Source organism: Homo sapiens, chromosome 5 (genome assembly GCF_000001405.40).
Source record: "Homo sapiens chromosome 5, GRCh38.p14 Primary Assembly".
Taxonomy (NCBI): domain Eukaryota; kingdom Metazoa; phylum Chordata; class Mammalia; order Primates; family Hominidae; genus Homo; species Homo sapiens.
Window position 1 is genome coordinate 90,696,665 of NC_000005.10, and position 16,837 is coordinate 90,713,501.

The 16,837-nt window shown below is 33.7% G+C and overlaps 1 protein-coding gene across 16 annotated transcripts in view; it reads left to right on the forward strand.

Annotated features, from left to right (window-relative positions):
- ADGRV1 (adhesion G protein-coupled receptor V1) overlaps window positions 1–16,837 on the forward strand; it is a 605,641-nt gene that overhangs the window by 137,868 nt on the left and 450,936 nt on the right. For 11 of the 16 annotated variants that reach the window (XM_017009963.3, XM_017009969.3, XM_017009968.3 and 8 more), the window contains 9 exons: window positions 273–482; window positions 7,001–7,131; window positions 7,725–7,824; window positions 8,715–8,915; window positions 9,567–9,730; window positions 12,152–12,245; window positions 14,317–14,395; window positions 14,520–14,658; window positions 15,623–15,764. In XM_017009963.3, coding sequence (XP_016865452.1) covers window positions 273–482; window positions 7,001–7,131; window positions 7,725–7,824; window positions 8,715–8,915; window positions 9,567–9,730; window positions 12,152–12,245; window positions 14,317–14,395; window positions 14,520–14,658; window positions 15,623–15,764 — 1,260 coding nt within the window. The remainder of the gene's footprint in view (window positions 1–272; window positions 483–7,000; window positions 7,132–7,724; window positions 7,825–8,714; window positions 8,916–9,566; window positions 9,731–12,151; window positions 12,246–14,316; window positions 14,396–14,519; window positions 14,659–15,622; window positions 15,765–16,837) is intronic. The other 5 variants (NR_003149.2, NM_032119.4, XM_047417824.1 and 2 more) reach the window with 1 other exon arrangement.

A 16,837-nucleotide genomic window follows, 5' to 3' on the forward strand; every position in this document is an offset into this window, starting at 1 on the left:
TTTGAAACAATTCTACCTTTTAACTTTCCCATAATTCAAAATGTCCTTCTCCACAATCTGTCTTCATTAATGAAATTTTACAGTGTTTGATATGTGAAAAGATATATATATATATAATTAAAATTTGCTTATGTTGCCCATGATATGGAACTGTTATAATTCACTCATATTTTTATTTAACTTTTAAACATAGAAATTATTTTGGGCCTTTCTGAGTTCTCTGTGTTGGTGATTTTGTTACTTTGGTTTTTATTCCATTGATGTTTTTATAGGTGAAACCAAAAAGACAGTCATTTTAACCATCTTGGATGACTCTGAACCAGAGGATGACGAAAGTATCATAGTTAGTTTGGTGTACACTGAAGGTGGAAGTAGAATTTTGCCAAGCTCCGACACTGTTAGAGTGAACATTTTGGCCAATGACAATGTGGCAGGAATTGTTAGCTTTCAGACAGCTTCCAGATCTGTCATAGGTCATGAAGGTGGGTTCCTTTTTTTGTTAAGCATATTCATTTTCTTTTCTATGGATGTTGTCTTTTGTCTAGTTCTTTAAAACTTGATAGTTTTTCCCTTTCATTATTTTGTTGAACTGTGTGTGTGTTAATCTGCATAGAACTTCTTTGGGAGAAGGCTTTATAATGAACTGTTTAGCCAGATTTAGGAGCCTTGCAAACCAATACCATGTTCTAGCTTGCCATTCTCTACTGGTATGATTTTAAGGAAGTTAAACCTGAAATGCTTAGTTTTCCCATTTGTTAAATGATTCAAAATATTACTTCATAGGTTTCTTTGTGAGGATTAAATGAGCTAATAAAGGTAAAGTGCTTAGCATAGTTCCTGGCAAGTATAGCGTATGCCCAAGGGTAGCTGTTGGTATCAAACAGTGAAACATTGGTAACCGGTTAAAAACAAGTAATAGTTTGTAATCAGTGAATATTTTAGCCTGGATTTTATATTGTGTTTGTACATTTTATGAACAAAGTGCCAAACCTTATAAAATTTCTTTTTTTCCTTAAAAAACAGTAATTTTCTTGAATTCTTACTTAATATTTTACATCATATGTAGGGTTTTGCATAGATGGGCTAATTTTTGTGTGTTTAAAACATAACAGTGTTTTTGTCTTCGAGTAAGCCTGTTTTGGGGTAAATAGGTATTGGTAGCCTGTGTTTCATTACATAGTTTATCTGGAATTAAAAAAATAATTTTACCTTGAATAGTTAATAAATGAAAAGGATATAGATTGTGTACTTGGACATCTATTTAATAGATGAGAAAACAAATTGAGACATAGAGAGATTAAAAGACTTGACAGTGTCAGATGGTTAGTGGCTGTGCCAGAAACAGAATGTATTTTACTGTATTACCTTTTCCCTTACTGTACTTCCAACTTGCAAGTTTATTTATCCATGCAAATATTCGAGCCATTTTCAGTACTCTACTTTTATTAACGGTTTGGAATTGCATGTTGTCATAGCAGTAATGAGTAAAAGTGAATAATTCCATAAATCTAACCTAAAGACAGATCATCAACTATCAAAAAGTTATTTGTAACATAATACAGAGTTACTGCAGGAATAGTTAATAATAATGACAACAGTAACACTTACGGAGTGTTTTCTGTGTGGCAGACACTCCACCTTCATTATTTCACTTAAGTTTAACAGCAGTCCTATGATATAGGTATAATTGTATACACCAGATTTTCATACAAGGAAACTGAATTTGAGAGAGACTAAATAGCAACAATTATTCAGTGGTAGTGCTTATGCCCAGCTGTGTCAAATCCAAAGCCCATGCTATATAGGGCACCTAGTGAGGAGAGACTTTGTTTTGCTTGAACTCACGTCTGCTGCAGAACCTGGCAATGCAGGGACTTTTGGTAAATATTTGAAGTTATTTGAGTTGGAAGCATAATGAATTTGAGTAGCAGTGCCTGTGTGAGGGAAGGAAATTAGTGAGAGAACCTGACTCTGTTTCAGGTTAAAGATGGACATTGGTTAAAGATGATAGCTGAAATCTGGAAAATGAATATGATGACTTTTGTGGACAGAGGAAAAAAAAGCAAATTATCGGAATGGAACCATGAAGAACATCAGACTAAGGTGCTGGGAAAGAAAAAATTACCTGAGAGGAGAGAGAAGCCTTTGCTGGAGAGGCAGGGAGAAACCAGGGAGAGAGTGTGTTTTCAATCAGTTACACTGATTACTCCGTAATCAGTGAGTAATCAGTAATCAGTGTGTCTCATACTAACATGGCCAAAAAGGGGAGTTAGATCTCAAATGGGCCAAATAAAACAGTGGCAATGGTAGATGAATTTTAAAGGAGTATTGGGGATAGGAAGCAAATATCTAAGGATGACAAACATAGAGGTCTTCAGGGGTTCCTCCTCAATGTGGCTTTCAGGAGGCTGCCTGTTCAGTGTTTGCTTCTGGTCTGTGACAAGAGGATTGGAAACTCTTTTAACAATTTCACTTTGCTGTGATATCCAAAAGCAGTATCTATGGGCTGGTATTTTGTATGTCTTTTTTGTTTGCGTTAGTTTTTTGCTATTTAACTTATCTAGTCATTTATTTTATTCTGTTTTATAAGAGGGTCAGCCTCTAATGGATTAAGGCAAACAAAACAAAACACAAATCCCTGTCCTTCACAGCATGAAGTTTTGAGAAGCACTGCTTATTGGCTATAACAGCAAGGAGAGGAGAAGCATTGGATAGAACAGATGACGGGAGCATTTTGGATTTGTTTTGTTGAAGAAATAGGGGGAAGGAAAAGAGAATCAAAGTATTAGTGGTATGGAAGGTACAAACAAGAGCTGAGATCAGGAAAGGATAGACGAGATTTAAGGAGGGACTTAGAGCTATACTAGGCATGCACTTTTCAGCAGTGTGATGAAATTTCTTTTCTAAGGAATACAAAACAATTTGGATGTCTAGGATCAATTTAATGAATTTTAACTGTAGGGCCACTAATGTTGTGAAAGTGCATCCTATGAGCCTGGATGGTGGTGCTAGTGGTGAGTTGGAGGGCTCTGAAGACACGGAGGCCCTCCTGCTGGGTACCACAACATCTTGGAGAAACTGCAGATATGAACACCTACAGTCTGTTTGGCCCAGATGAACTTCACCTGAAAACAATATTGTAGCCTCGTCAGTTTCCAACAGCTAATTATCTGCAGGAGAGGCAAAGAGGAAAGATTATTAATTAAAATAAATGGTCCAAAGGTGTTATTGGTTAAAAATCTGCTTTAGCATATCAATCTAAAACACCAAATTGCTTTTCTTGCTGGCATGAGTGCTCCCTAGATTTTTTATGTTTTCTACATAAAAGTTGGAGTCAATTTCTATTTTTTACTTACTTTTTTCTCTTCATTCCTAAGCCTTTTCCTAGATTATAAATTATTTTTTTCAAAAACATATTAAGCCACAATAGTTCAGTATTTTGTGTATGCTTTATATTACCATGAAAATTGCACAGAGAAATGTGTATCATGATGATTTTATGAAAGTGAATTAATGAAAACATCATGGTGATTCTTCAGAGATAACCGCTAAACAAATGGGGTGAAAATAATTGTGCCATGTGAGCTTTTAACAGTGTTAACGTTGCTTTTAGCCTAGTGTTGGAGTTTCATTTATGTGATTAGATTTAAAATGTGGACTATGCTGAACTTCTGGCTCTAGAATGCATTTTTGATTCATGGGAGGAATTGCCTTAGTCTCTAACAATGTATTGAATTCTGTAGAATCCTATTTCTACATTTTGTCCTAATGCAGTTGGAGAGCTGCCCAGTGGTAAATATTACTTTCTTTCAAATGTAATGGACAGAATTTAGAAATATGGGACAATGGATTTTACTGTGGTTGCACACTGGGTATAAATGTGCTCTTTATAAATCTGTGCTAGGTGTTTCTCTCAGTCACCCAGCTGAGCAGCAGCATAATCATCATGTCATGTTCGATGGATTTTAAATTTTTTCTTCTCTTAGGGACAGCGTGAATCTTTTTTACACAAAGATTTGAGCAAGAAATGTGATTCTTTAAAGAAATATATAGAACCGCTCTACTGGAAACACTCAACTTTTTCTTAACTGTTCTTTTTGACAGTCTGCTTCACATTATTCATATTCCTATAATTGTTTTATCCCGTTTTCTTTTTTGTTATAGAGGGCAATTTGGATAGTATATGTATGTCATGTATACACGAATCTATTAAATATATTTTCTGTATTTTGGTTTTCCATTAGTTTTATGTACATTGTAGTTGGTGTTTATCTTTGTAAAAAGAATTCTGGTCTTGAAAATAAGTGTCTAAAACACTTAGGTTTATTAAAATGCATTCTTCATTCATATTCTTTATCTGCATTAGGTTAGTCCTAGACACCATGTAACAGATCTGCTTTAGAGTTGAAATATGTCACTAACTTTTGGTAAACTCTGGATTTCGTATCAAGATGATCGTCCAGTTATGTAGTCAGACACTTTGTTATGTAAGGGTTGTTCTGCCTTTCATCTTGGGCAAAAACTAGAAGGCTGTTTAGTACCTAGTAAAGTCTTTGTCATCTAAAAATAACATACTCTCTCTTAAGACTTTTCTTCTGTCTTTTCCCTTAAATTTGGAAGGCTAAGCACTTATTTTTAAGTTTTTCATTTTCCTGTGACTGTTTGACTTTTCATCCTGGCAGAAGGTATCTTTCTGATATGTCCAGTCATTTTTTCCAGGAGGCATTTTAAATGGACCTGGCTCCTGGGAGTCTGCAATAAAGAGACAGAATAAATACCTCCCTTTTGATTATTGCTTAGAAAAAATTTCACACTATTCTTGCTGTTGACATGATACATTTTCACTAGGCTTACAAGATTATGTGTTTAAGAAATATTTCATTTATCTTTTATTTATATGTGCTTCTCTATGTGCGTGTGTGTGCGCATGTGTTTGTGTATATGTGTGTGTGTATCATACTTCAAATTATATTTTTGCAGTATTTTCTTGCAAGTTACTTTCATAGTAACTTTTTAAATTTTCAGAGGGGATATTGATGAACTAGTATTAGACTTTTAGTGTTTTTACATGTAGTAAGTTTGTCTGAATATTTTACTTTCTTTTCTCCTAAGCATTTTATTTTTACTTTTACCTAAAAATGATGTATTTATGCCCAAATCTCTGTGTCTAAACTTGCAACTGCAATTTTATTATTGTGATTATAGATTACCCTTCAACATGGAAATTTTTTGACCTGCATTTTGTTTTCTTGCCATTTGTGTTCTCTTTGCACTTTAGTACTTCATTAAACTTCCATAATTTTCTTTTTGAACCATTAACAAATTTTGTGATTTGAAAAGTTTGAAAACCATGACTCTTATGAAAGAGTCACCAGACAACACTGTAGGTGAAATAGCTTAATAACTTCAAAGATTTTTCTATGCTTTTTAGTAATAAATTTTTGTTTTTCAATATTCCAAACTTGCTCTATAAGAAATTCTATATATTGTACAATAGAGAGACACCAGAGTTTCACAGTAGTGTCTATATTTTGTTCACAAGTTTTACAAATACAAAATTTTTAAATGGTATGCTAGCAATGGCTGACTATACATAGTCCTTCATTTTCATCCCAATCTTTGGACAATCTGATCTAGAAATTCCTGTGCTTTTAAAAGATAAAACTAAGACATAGTCTACTAATGTAAAGGTAACTAATTTTTTTTGTATTGACACACTTAAAATGTGTTTTAAGAAGCCTTTCTAATGCTTTTGTTTATATTATCCACTCTCCTTAAAATGTTCATTTTGTTAAAATTGTGTTTAAATTTAGTATGAAAAATTATTTTGTTTTTAAATTGAAATTAAGATGGTCTCTAAATTAATTAATTCATGATATTTTAAGAAATCTTCCTATAAGAAATATTTGTTTAGTTGTCTTCAGAAATAAAAAATGTGGCGGTTTAAAAAATACTTGAAAATAGTGTTTAAAGTTTATTGCTTTATTTCTACTTTTTAAAAAATGTTTGAAGATATTACTTATATACACAAAAGTTACTTGGATAGCTAACTGAACTAAAACTAACTAAAAGTGACATTTTTAGTGAATGTTTGTGGTTTTTAACTATATGTCTATGCTATACAGTTTGATTAAGGATGTCGTCTTCTAAATCTTTTTAAACATCATTCTATCCTTGCATAATAATAATTTTTTAGTGATACAGTTCATTGGTATTTCTTAGTTGTGTTCATCATCATATAAAGCTAGTGAATTGAGCATATTTTCAACAAGTCATATGGCCATTAGCACGCTCCCTAACAGCTTACTTTATGCTTTTAGCAATTTGAAAGACATGTTATGATTTTCTTCACTTTTGTGAAGTATTATATGGGGAAAAAAGCCAGGAATAGAAGAGATCTAAAATATCTCCATTATCCAGGAAGGATAACTGTAACTTTGGCAAAGTTACAGATGTTGATGTACAGATTTGACACCTTTCCTTTGTATTTCTTTTTATAATACAAAATCATTGATGGTATATGTAAGTTACAACTAAAGAAATGTGATTTTCAGGTATTTGCAAGCATTTTTATGCATGCATTGTGTAAAATCACATTGCATATCAGTGTAAGGATTTGTGCCCTTTTGAAAAGTGAAGGAAGAATTTACTTGTGTTACTATCATGAGGACTTTATTATTTTCTTTAATTTACAGAACACTTATGTTCTGGTGCATGTTTTGGAGTGTATAAAAGTTTGTGTTTCCCATTTTAGCATGTGCTTTTGTAACTTTTACATATTAAATTTCCTCAAGTTCTACTAAATTGAAGTATTTAGAAGTGGGGATAATAAACAATAAGCATGTATAAAGATTCTAGAAAATTCAAAACAAAACAGCTTTGTAATGTTCTTGGGAAAGGTGCTGTAATAGTTGCATGCTTGGGATTTGGGTTTTGTTGAGTTCAAATGTGAAGTTTATTTTCCATTAAGTATTTATCAATTTACACATTTTACTTGCAGGAGAAATTTTACAATTCCATGTGATAAGAACTTTCCCTGGTCGAGGAAATGTTACTGTTAACTGGAAAATTATTGGGCAAAATCTAGAACTCAATTTTGCTAACTTTAGCGGACAACTTTTCTTTCCTGAGGTAATACTGCAAAGAAAAGTCGATCACAAATATCTAGAAAGAATGGTGTATTTTGAGGAAAATGGGATAGAAAAGCAGCACTATTGTAGTTATTATCTTTCTCTCTTCTCCAGACCTACTTCGTATGAATTCTTTGATGATGTATTTAATTGTTTTTATCTTCCTTCTCATTGCCTCAATATTAAGCCAAGCCAATATTACCCTCTGCCTTGAGTAGTACATTGGACTTTTAATGACTAGTGTCCCTGCAGCACTTGTCTTCTTTTCTCTGCTCCAGTTTTTTCTACTCACCATTGTTGTAGAAACCTCTCCAACTTTGTGCTTTGAGATTTCCAATAGTGTTACATTGCTCAATAAATAAGATTTATGTTCATTAGCTCAGCATTCAAGATCTTCCACAATTAGCCCCTGTCTGCTTGGAGCTTAGGTTCCCATGTGTCAGTGGTTTTTATTTATTTATTTTTAAGCCACAGAACTTTTGTTTAAATGAAAATATATTTGCCTGCACAATTTATAAGGTGAATAAAAATAAAGCAGGAGATAGTTCATATTCAATAACGACAGCGGGATTGATTTCTTTCTGTATGACATAGGGGTCGTTGAATACAACATTGTTTGTGCATTTGTTGGATGACAACATTCCTGAGGAGAAAGAAGTATACCAAGTCATTCTGTATGATGTCAGGACACAAGGTAATTCAGAATTTAATTTTAATTTTTTTTGGTATATTCTTTTCGTAAAAGAAAGAAAATTGTTATCTCTGTATTTAACAATTAGATGCATACCAATTTTTAAAATGTTACTTTATTATGTGTCCCCTAGAAATGTTAGATCAAAAAAAATTAGCACCATATGGGAATACTTATCTTTATAGACTAGGAAAGAAGCCCTGAAACGTTTTGCTAAATGGTTACTTACAGAATAAAATTCATTTCCGAAGGTAGAATTTTTTTGAAATTAATTTGAGACTTACAAGCCAATTTGAATTTTGGACCAATTATATGGATAAATCAAATTTAGTCTTTTTTTTTTTGCGACAGGGTCTCACTCTGTCACCAGGCTGGAGTGCAGTGGCGCGATCTCGGTTCACTGCAGCCGCCGCCTCCCGGGTTCAAGCGATTCTCCTGCCTCAGTCTTCCGAGTAGCTGGGACTACAGGCATGCACTACCATGCCCAGCTAATTTTTGTATTTTAGTAGAGATGGGGTTTCACCATGTTGGCCAGGATGATCTCAATCTCTTGATCTTGTGATCCGCCTGTCTCGCCCTCCCAAAGTGCTGGGATTACAGGCGTGAGCCACCACACCCGGCCCAAATTGAGTCATTTTTAAGCAAATTATCTGGGTACTTTCCTCAGTTTCTATTCAATTTCTATAATTCTGATAACCAGTATAACCAATAATGACAGTAATATGTGAAGTAAAGAAATTCATGATCTTCCACCTGAAAGAAAAATGGAATGTGGCTTTTGTTAACCTGAAGATTTGTTAGAGAAGTAAATAGAACACTTTTGATTACCTTAATGTTTCAGAGAGTGAGGCTATGTTTCCAGCGATTAAAAGCTAATGCCAAATCACTGTTAGATTCCTGCCTGACATTTTTAGGAGTTCCACCAGCCGGAATCGCCCTGCTTGATGCTCAAGGATATGCAGCTGTCCTCACAGTAGAAGCCAGTGATGAACCACATGGAGTTTTAAATTTTGCTCTTTCATCAAGATTTGTGTTACTACAAGAGGCTAACATAACAATTCAGCTTTTCATCAACAGAGAATTTGGATCTCTAGGTTTGTGTTACTCTAGAATGAATGGGGTTTCCAGGCAAGTGCTTATTAATATTCTACTTGTGTGGATGAAAGCCATTGCTAAAATAAATCGGGGACAGGAGAAAATTAATATTTCTTCATTCAGGACAGAACTTTATAACTTCTTTATCTTTGAAAAGATTAAAGGAATTATCTGTTTTCACAGAAATGCTGTGTAATTAACAAACATAACATTTCAGCAGCATACAGTAATTTAGGCTGTCTGTGGGTCTACTAATCTACACTGGGCTTGGCCATGGGTGGCTCTATTCCATATGTCTGTCATTCTTCTCCGGGAACAAATGGTAGCACAAAAGACCAAGTGAAAATGTGTAAGGCCCCCTGAGGTCTAGGGTTAGAACCAGCACATCATCATTTTTACCTTGTTCTATTGGCCAAAACAAGTCACATATCCAAATTCAAAGTCTAGAGGCAGGGAAATATGCTTTTCCCACAGTGAGACACCCATGAGCCATCACATGGTAAAGATTATGGATATAGGAAGGGGTGAGGAATTGGGACCAATAATACTAGCTACTAAAGGTGCTTTTAGGAAAGGCAAAAAATTCACAAGGGGATATTATTGTAAACATTTAGATAATTATAAAACATTTTTGCAACCTATTCAATTAGGAGCTATCAATGTCACATATACCACGGTTCCTGGAATGCTGAGTCTGAAGAACCAAACAGTAGGAAACCTAGCAGAGCCAGAAGTTGATTTTGTCCCTATCATTGGCTTTCTGATTTTAGAAGAAGGGGAAACAGCAGCAGCCATCAACATTACCATTCTTGAGGTAAAACTCTTTTTTTTTTTTAATCTTAGGGGGAGATAGTTTAATAAGTTTTTTTTATTATACTTTAAGTTTTAGTGTACAAGTGCACAATGTGCAGGTTTGTTACATATATATACATGTGCCATGTTGGTGTGCTGCACCCATTAACTCGATAACTCATATATTTTTCCTTATTATTGTATTAAACCTGAAGTAACTACATAGAAGGTAGAAATTGATGGAAGAGTCTATCTATAACATAAGTGGTAACATTTAGTAAGACACTTCTAGTAACTTTGCATTTTAAGACATCAAGTTTCATGAAAACTAAGTTTACCTGAGTTTTTTTCTATTAGTAAAAAAAAAAAAAAATTACTCTGACTTTAATATCAGGTTTGGACACTCTACAATTATAATACCAGAAACCTGGTGAATTCTCTTCTGCTTGTTCCCCCTGCTGGTACCTTTAAATCATCTTATTTCTTTTCTTGATTTTGTTGTTGTTGTTGTTGTTTTAATCATACAGGGGTTTCTGTTCTTGTTTAGATAGACAGGCCTGCTGTTATGTATTTTATTACAGACATGTCCGTGATAAAGAATTTTCTTAGGGCAGTCACCTTTGAGATGCCATAGACCTAAGAGGTTTCAAGGAGTATTTTGATTACTTCAAAGGATTCTTTGGACCAGAAAATCCGTGTATGTCAGAATCTTTGTTGGTAGTAGGACCACTTAAATTAGAGATAGGGAGAAACTCACCAGAGGCAGATGGCACAAAATGCGATTATGGTTACATTAAGCTTAGCATAATCATTAATGATTGAAATTGCATTTTAAATAATTTTTCATATTGTGGAATCTCATGTTGTTTTGGGGACTTAGTGTATCAGTTACCTAAATACAGTTCCAAGAGGTTTATAAAAATGGTACTCACGGAGGGAGTAGGAGATAGTGTGTAGGATAGGGGAAGGGAAAGAGGGAGAAAGCATGAATATTGCAGTTGAGAAAATATTTTTCAATTACTATGTATTTTGGGAGTTCTATTTTAAAATGTATTTTATTATCTTGGAGGCTTGTGCTTTTACAGAATTATAAGTGGTGTAAACCATCTACCAACTGAAGTCAGTAACTTATTTTGTTGATTACTGTGGCACTGTGACCTAATATAACAGTATAAAAATTCCAAAGCTGTAAAATTAAAGGTAATATTATGTCAGTATATGGGATATAACACAAGATTTGATAAAGCTTTCAAGTAAGTTATCTTTCAAATGTATACTCTATTAATAACAATATAAATAAATGGATTGATTATTCCTTAGATATGTTAGTTTTTAAAGCAGAGAATACACAGTCACCCTTCTTTTCTCTGAGGAGTCTAGATTTTTTTGAACATTGGGTTTTTGTTTCCACCTTTATTTGATCCTAGATCTTTGCAACCTTTTCTGCTCCCTGATTAGCACTAAGATTAAGAGACTGCAGGCCTATGCATATAGGAGCAAGCTGCCCTGGGGAGTGGTAGGGAGGAAGTATTGCGTGGGGGGTGGGGGACATTAAGAGTAGGCACAGCAGTCCTTCTATATCACTGACCTTGTAACTCATGTTGGTCCATATATTACATAAGACAATCTAGAGACCATGATTTTCACTTATATTTTCACATGGAAACATGACTCCATTAAATAAAGTGAGGAGAAAAGCATATGTTGGTGAGTGTGTACTGACATTATATATGCATAAATATACATACACATTGTGTTTCTTTGTAAATATTGATGGCTGGCTGATCACTCTTGACATGGATTTTGCTAATCCTTATGTTTTTGGTATCTGCCTTGTTTTCATTGCTATTATGTGGACTGGTGATTAATAATAATAGCTATTAATTTTAAAGCATTTTCTCTAGGCCACCCTACACATATGATTTGTGATCATTATTACAATCTCCCACCCAAAAGGAGCTATTATTGCCCCGTTATAGAGATAGTAGAATTGGGAGTTCTAAAATTTAAGTAACTTACTTAAAATTATAGAATTTGGTACTAGGCCTCCTTGAACTGCAGAGCCTTTTTTTTTTTCCATGGTGTTCTATTCCTCCTTCTACACATTAGATATTAAGGTAATTTCAAATGTTTTGTTCATATTATGCTTAAAATAATTAGGCTTATATATTTATATAATTGGTTTACATATTATATAAATCTATATTTAAAATGTTAAAATATTTAAGTGGTTTCATGTGGGTCAACCTAATTACTTCCTATACAACCAAGTATAAGTTTAATACGTTTATGTTTATTTTTTCTAATTTACATCTGTCTACTTTATGGTTGCATTTTTGTATCTTCTGTATACTAATTATACAGTTTAATTTAAAAACAGTTTCTGAGGGTTAATTACTTTGAGAGTATAACTAAAGGAATTTAATGAGTGTAATTTTTTCAGGATGATGTACCAGAGCTAGAAGAATATTTCCTGGTGAATTTAACTTACGTTGGACTTACCATGGCTGCTTCAACTTCATTTCCTCCCAGACTAGGTATGAGGGGTTTCTTGTTTGTTTCTTTTTGCTCACTTCAAATGAAATGAAGAAACTTCATTTTTGAATCAGAAGTGATCATTGTGCTGTTTTGTTAATCTTAGCTATGTGTTAAAATATGATGGGCTTTTATATTTATTTTTGATACTCTCATATATTGCAATTTTTACAATGAACAATGTAAAGACATTAAAAATTATTGTGTGATGCTCTTTAAATTTTACAACTATTTTATAAACAAATTTGTAATCCTCAAAATAGCTCTTTGGAAGGTATTTTCCTTTCATTTTCTTTTAAAATTAGCTGTTTTCAGTAGATCTCCAAACTCTCAGATGTTTTTATTTTCTTTTAGGTTAAGCAGTGCTGATATTTGCTTCTTTGTTGCTTTATTGTGTTCTCTGCTTCTTTCATGACCTTTTATCTTTTTCTTTTCATGCTTTTAGAAAAGACTCAGTTAATTCATTACAGACTGAAAGGTAAAACCTGAGCCTTGGTACAAACTTATCTAGATTCCTTTGAAAAGATGTATTCCTATGTTTAAACACAAACTCCTCTTTCAGTGTGGACATTTACTACTGGGAAATTTTGTCTGAAGCCTGTAGGTGTGATGGCCCACTAGAGGGTGGTGCTGAGTTGGTTAGAAGGAGTGCTGGACAGGGGAAAGTTAATTTGGATTAAAGGAAGAGAAGCATGGCCAGGAGCAGTGGCCTGGGAAACAGGCATTCCTCATTCATTTCTGAAGCTCACTGTGATAACTTTGAAAATATTGAAAGGAAATAATCAGTTTCTAACCTATTGTTTGAATAAATTCAGTTCTTTTGCTAAAGAAATAGATGATTCCAATGAGTAGGCTGTTTACATCAAGTATTATTACAAGATAATTATTATTCACACTAAGACAACTAACAAAACAATTCATATTTCTTTCATCCTCTTACTGAGATAATTTGAATAGTTAACTTCTGTTGAGTGGTTTCTAATGCTCCTATTTCAAGTGCTTTGTAGATTAGTAATATCATTACTTACATTCTTCTCATTTTACAGATGAGGTAGCTTAGGCTAAGAGAAGCTGCGTAATATGCCCCAAATCACACAGCTGGAGACTGGTAGAGCTGACTTCAATGGTGTGGTCTGATTTTAGAATCTCTGCTTTTTAGCCTCTTGTCTGATGGATGCAAACCCTGATTTTATATGCTTTCCTGGACAGTGTTGTTCTTTTCACTCTACAGAGAATTACACTCTCCCTACCCTTTCCCCATCCAGGCAGCTACCATAAGTGTCCTAGACTAAGGTAGCACCTCTGAAATTTAAAAGGTAAAGAACAAAGTATTAAAAACAAAAATCAAAACCAAACCAAAACACTAATCAGGAGCAGGATTAGTTAATATTTTAAGACTAGCCCAGGAGCAGGGTTAGTAATATTTTAAGACTGAAACCAAAAAGCCAACCAGGAGCAGAGTTAGTTAATATTTTAAGGTATTGGTAACATACTAAGTTTGGTGGATAGAATAAAAATAAAAAGGGAAGATAAGTTTACTTTGATATTAATCTCTCTTGACTTCACCAAACTTTTTCCCCATCTTTCCCATGTGTCTCTACTTCTGTTTGTGTCCATGTCTCTCTGTGTCTCTTTTGCACACCTCTGTTTTCTCTGTACCTTTCCTTGCACTTCTTTCATTTATTTTTCATTTTTTTTTGCTCTTTCTACTCCTTCCAACTGTCCCCATTTTCCTTTCCTCCTGAAATAGTGATATTATAGAATAGAGATGCCAAATATGTTTTAACTAATTAAAATAATAGAAACAAAATAGTAATCTCAGTTGTTTATTATTTTATACTGTTCTCAGTTGATTAAATTTCTATAAATCAGTGGCTCTTGTTAGCCAAAAGTGTCCTTATTCAGACGTGATAAGCATTGTCTCTTTATTTTCTTAAACATCTTTTGAGTAATGTTGATAATACCTGTACATTATGAATTATATAATTTCAAAGGGACTGTCTTTAAATCCTATATCAAAAATATTTTTAATCATTTATATGTATTTTAAGATATGCTTCTATGTTTTTTAAGATTCAGAAGGTTTGACTGCACAAGTTATTATTGATGCCAATGATGGGGCCCGAGGTGTAATTGAATGGCAACAAAGCAGGTAAGGCCAAGGCTGCATGAGAGCCCTCTTCTGGGTTTCATATTATTTACTATCTACCAAATAAAAGTTTCTAAGGGAAAAATTAATTTTTTTTGTTTGTTTTTGTTTTTTTGCTATATTATAGGTTTGAAGTAAATGAAACCCATGGAAGTTTAACATTGGTAGCCCAGAGGAGCAGAGAACCTCTTGGCCATGTTTCCTTATTTGTGTATGCTCAGAATTTGGAAGCACAAGTGGGGCTGGATTATATCTTCACCCCAATGGTGGGTCTCAAAATCTATCACAGATGACTTTTACAAATTATTTTATAATCATTATTCCTTGAGAATTACAGTGATTTAGGTCCCATATAAATAAATTATTCTTAAAAACCATTGTATTTTTCACAGTAAATTAGGACAGAAGATTTCCTCATGGTAAAATAGTTCCCTTAACTATTTTAGTAAATATAAATTGAATTTTCATTACTATTCTAAATGTTATTCTGTATGCATTAACTATTTCATTACAGTATTTGATACTAGAGAATACAAGCTGTAATATTAAAGAATTTATATCATTAGATAATCTTCCCAGAATGTTTCTTACACTTCACGAAAATTTTAACTCTTTCATTTCTTTGTTTTTGCTCACTGAAACACGTTTAGTGTTTTAAAATACTTTTACTTGGTCTCTTCATGCCTTTTATTTCTTAGCCAAATGTTTACTTTCTTCTCTTCCCCTATAATTTTTTTGGAGACAAAGTCTCGCTCTCTCACTCAGGTTGGAGTGCAGTGGTGCGATCTCGGCTCACTGCAACCTCCACCTCCCAGGTTCAAGCAATTCTCCTGCCTCAGCCTCCTGAGTAGCTGGGATTACAGGTGGCCACCACCATGCTAATTTTTTTTGTATTTTTACTGTATTTTATATTTTTAGTGTATTTTACCATGTTGGCCAGGCTGGTCTCTCAATCTCCTGGCCTCAAGTGATCAGCCCGCCTCGGCCTCACATAGTGCTGGGATTACAGGCGTGAGCCAATGCACCCAGCCCCCTCTTAATTTTTACTTTTTAAACTTAATGTTGCCAATTTAAATAAAAAGATATAAACCAAAATATAAGGAGACAAAATTCAATGTAAAATAGCTTATTCTTTACATTCACAACTATATTGTATTTCTTTCCAAACATTCTATAGAAACTCACAGTGTATATAAATATAATACATTCTGCTTTTACCTTTTTGACCAGATTCTTCATTTTGCTGATGGAGAAAGGTATAAAAATGTCAATATCATGATTCTTGATGATGACATTCCAGAAGGAGATGAAAAATTTCAGCTGATTTTAACAAATCCTTCTCCTGGACTAGAGCTAGGGAAAAATACAATAGGTAATTAATAATTTCTTATAAACAGCTTCCTCTCCTTCATGCTGGGTTCCTTAATATGGGGGAAGATGTAAAGGAATGAGAAAGTCTTGGTGGTTTTCTGTGCTTAAAATGAGAATGATTTTAAGTTAGAGCATTTCAGAATTCCTGTGTCTGTGTAACAGTGCCTCTCACGTGTGTATGTTGGTGTATATATGCATGTATGTAAAAGACAAAGTAGGTTGATACTACAGATAATATTATTTCCTCAGTTATTGTAGGATTATTTAATTTGTAGATGTCTTTCCTTTGGAATTTGAATTTTGTTCTGGTTTCCTACTTAGCAATAGAAGGAATTACAAAGGTAGTAATTCTACCTTTGTAGAATTACTTTGTACCTTTGTACAAAGGAGTAAAGGAACTCCTTTAGTGTCATCTACTCTGTAGTATTTCCGCATAGTGTTGAGGTATACTGATACTTCAGACAGATTATGGGAGACGTAATTCTTGGTTGGAACAGTTTGATATTGTTGCTAAGAGTCATCCTACTCCATTGCTTGATAGGTATTGTGCTGACTGTTTAGAGAAGGTAAGAAAGAGACAAAGGAGAAAACTCGGGAACATACAGAACTTGAGGGTTGGAAGGGCTCTTAAAAAGTCACTTCCGTTCATTCTGATGATAGACAAGCCAAATGAATTTCAAGGATTGAATGCTGACTGACCCTTCAAACTCCTGTTTTAGTCAGTGGCTGAGCTGGTTTTTTTTAAAAAAAATTTTAGTTTGATGAATATTTGCATTCCTGAATTATTGGCCTTTATGGAGAAATTTGATTTGTAGTAGAAAATATAAAAGAATTCTGAGTAACCCAAGGATTGGTTTTTACTTTTCTTGCTATTTTGATAAAATACATTGATATTTCTAAGTCCCCAGAAGCCTTTTTTTTTTTTTTTGAGGCTGTGGCTGTTGTTTCAAGTTCAAAGAGTATATGTTTGAGATCAAATCATTTTCTTGTAGAACATAGTGGGGTGGTAAAGCGTTGTATGAATGAATACCATGTGTTGGTTGAGAATAGTCTATGTACAAATAACAGAAAACC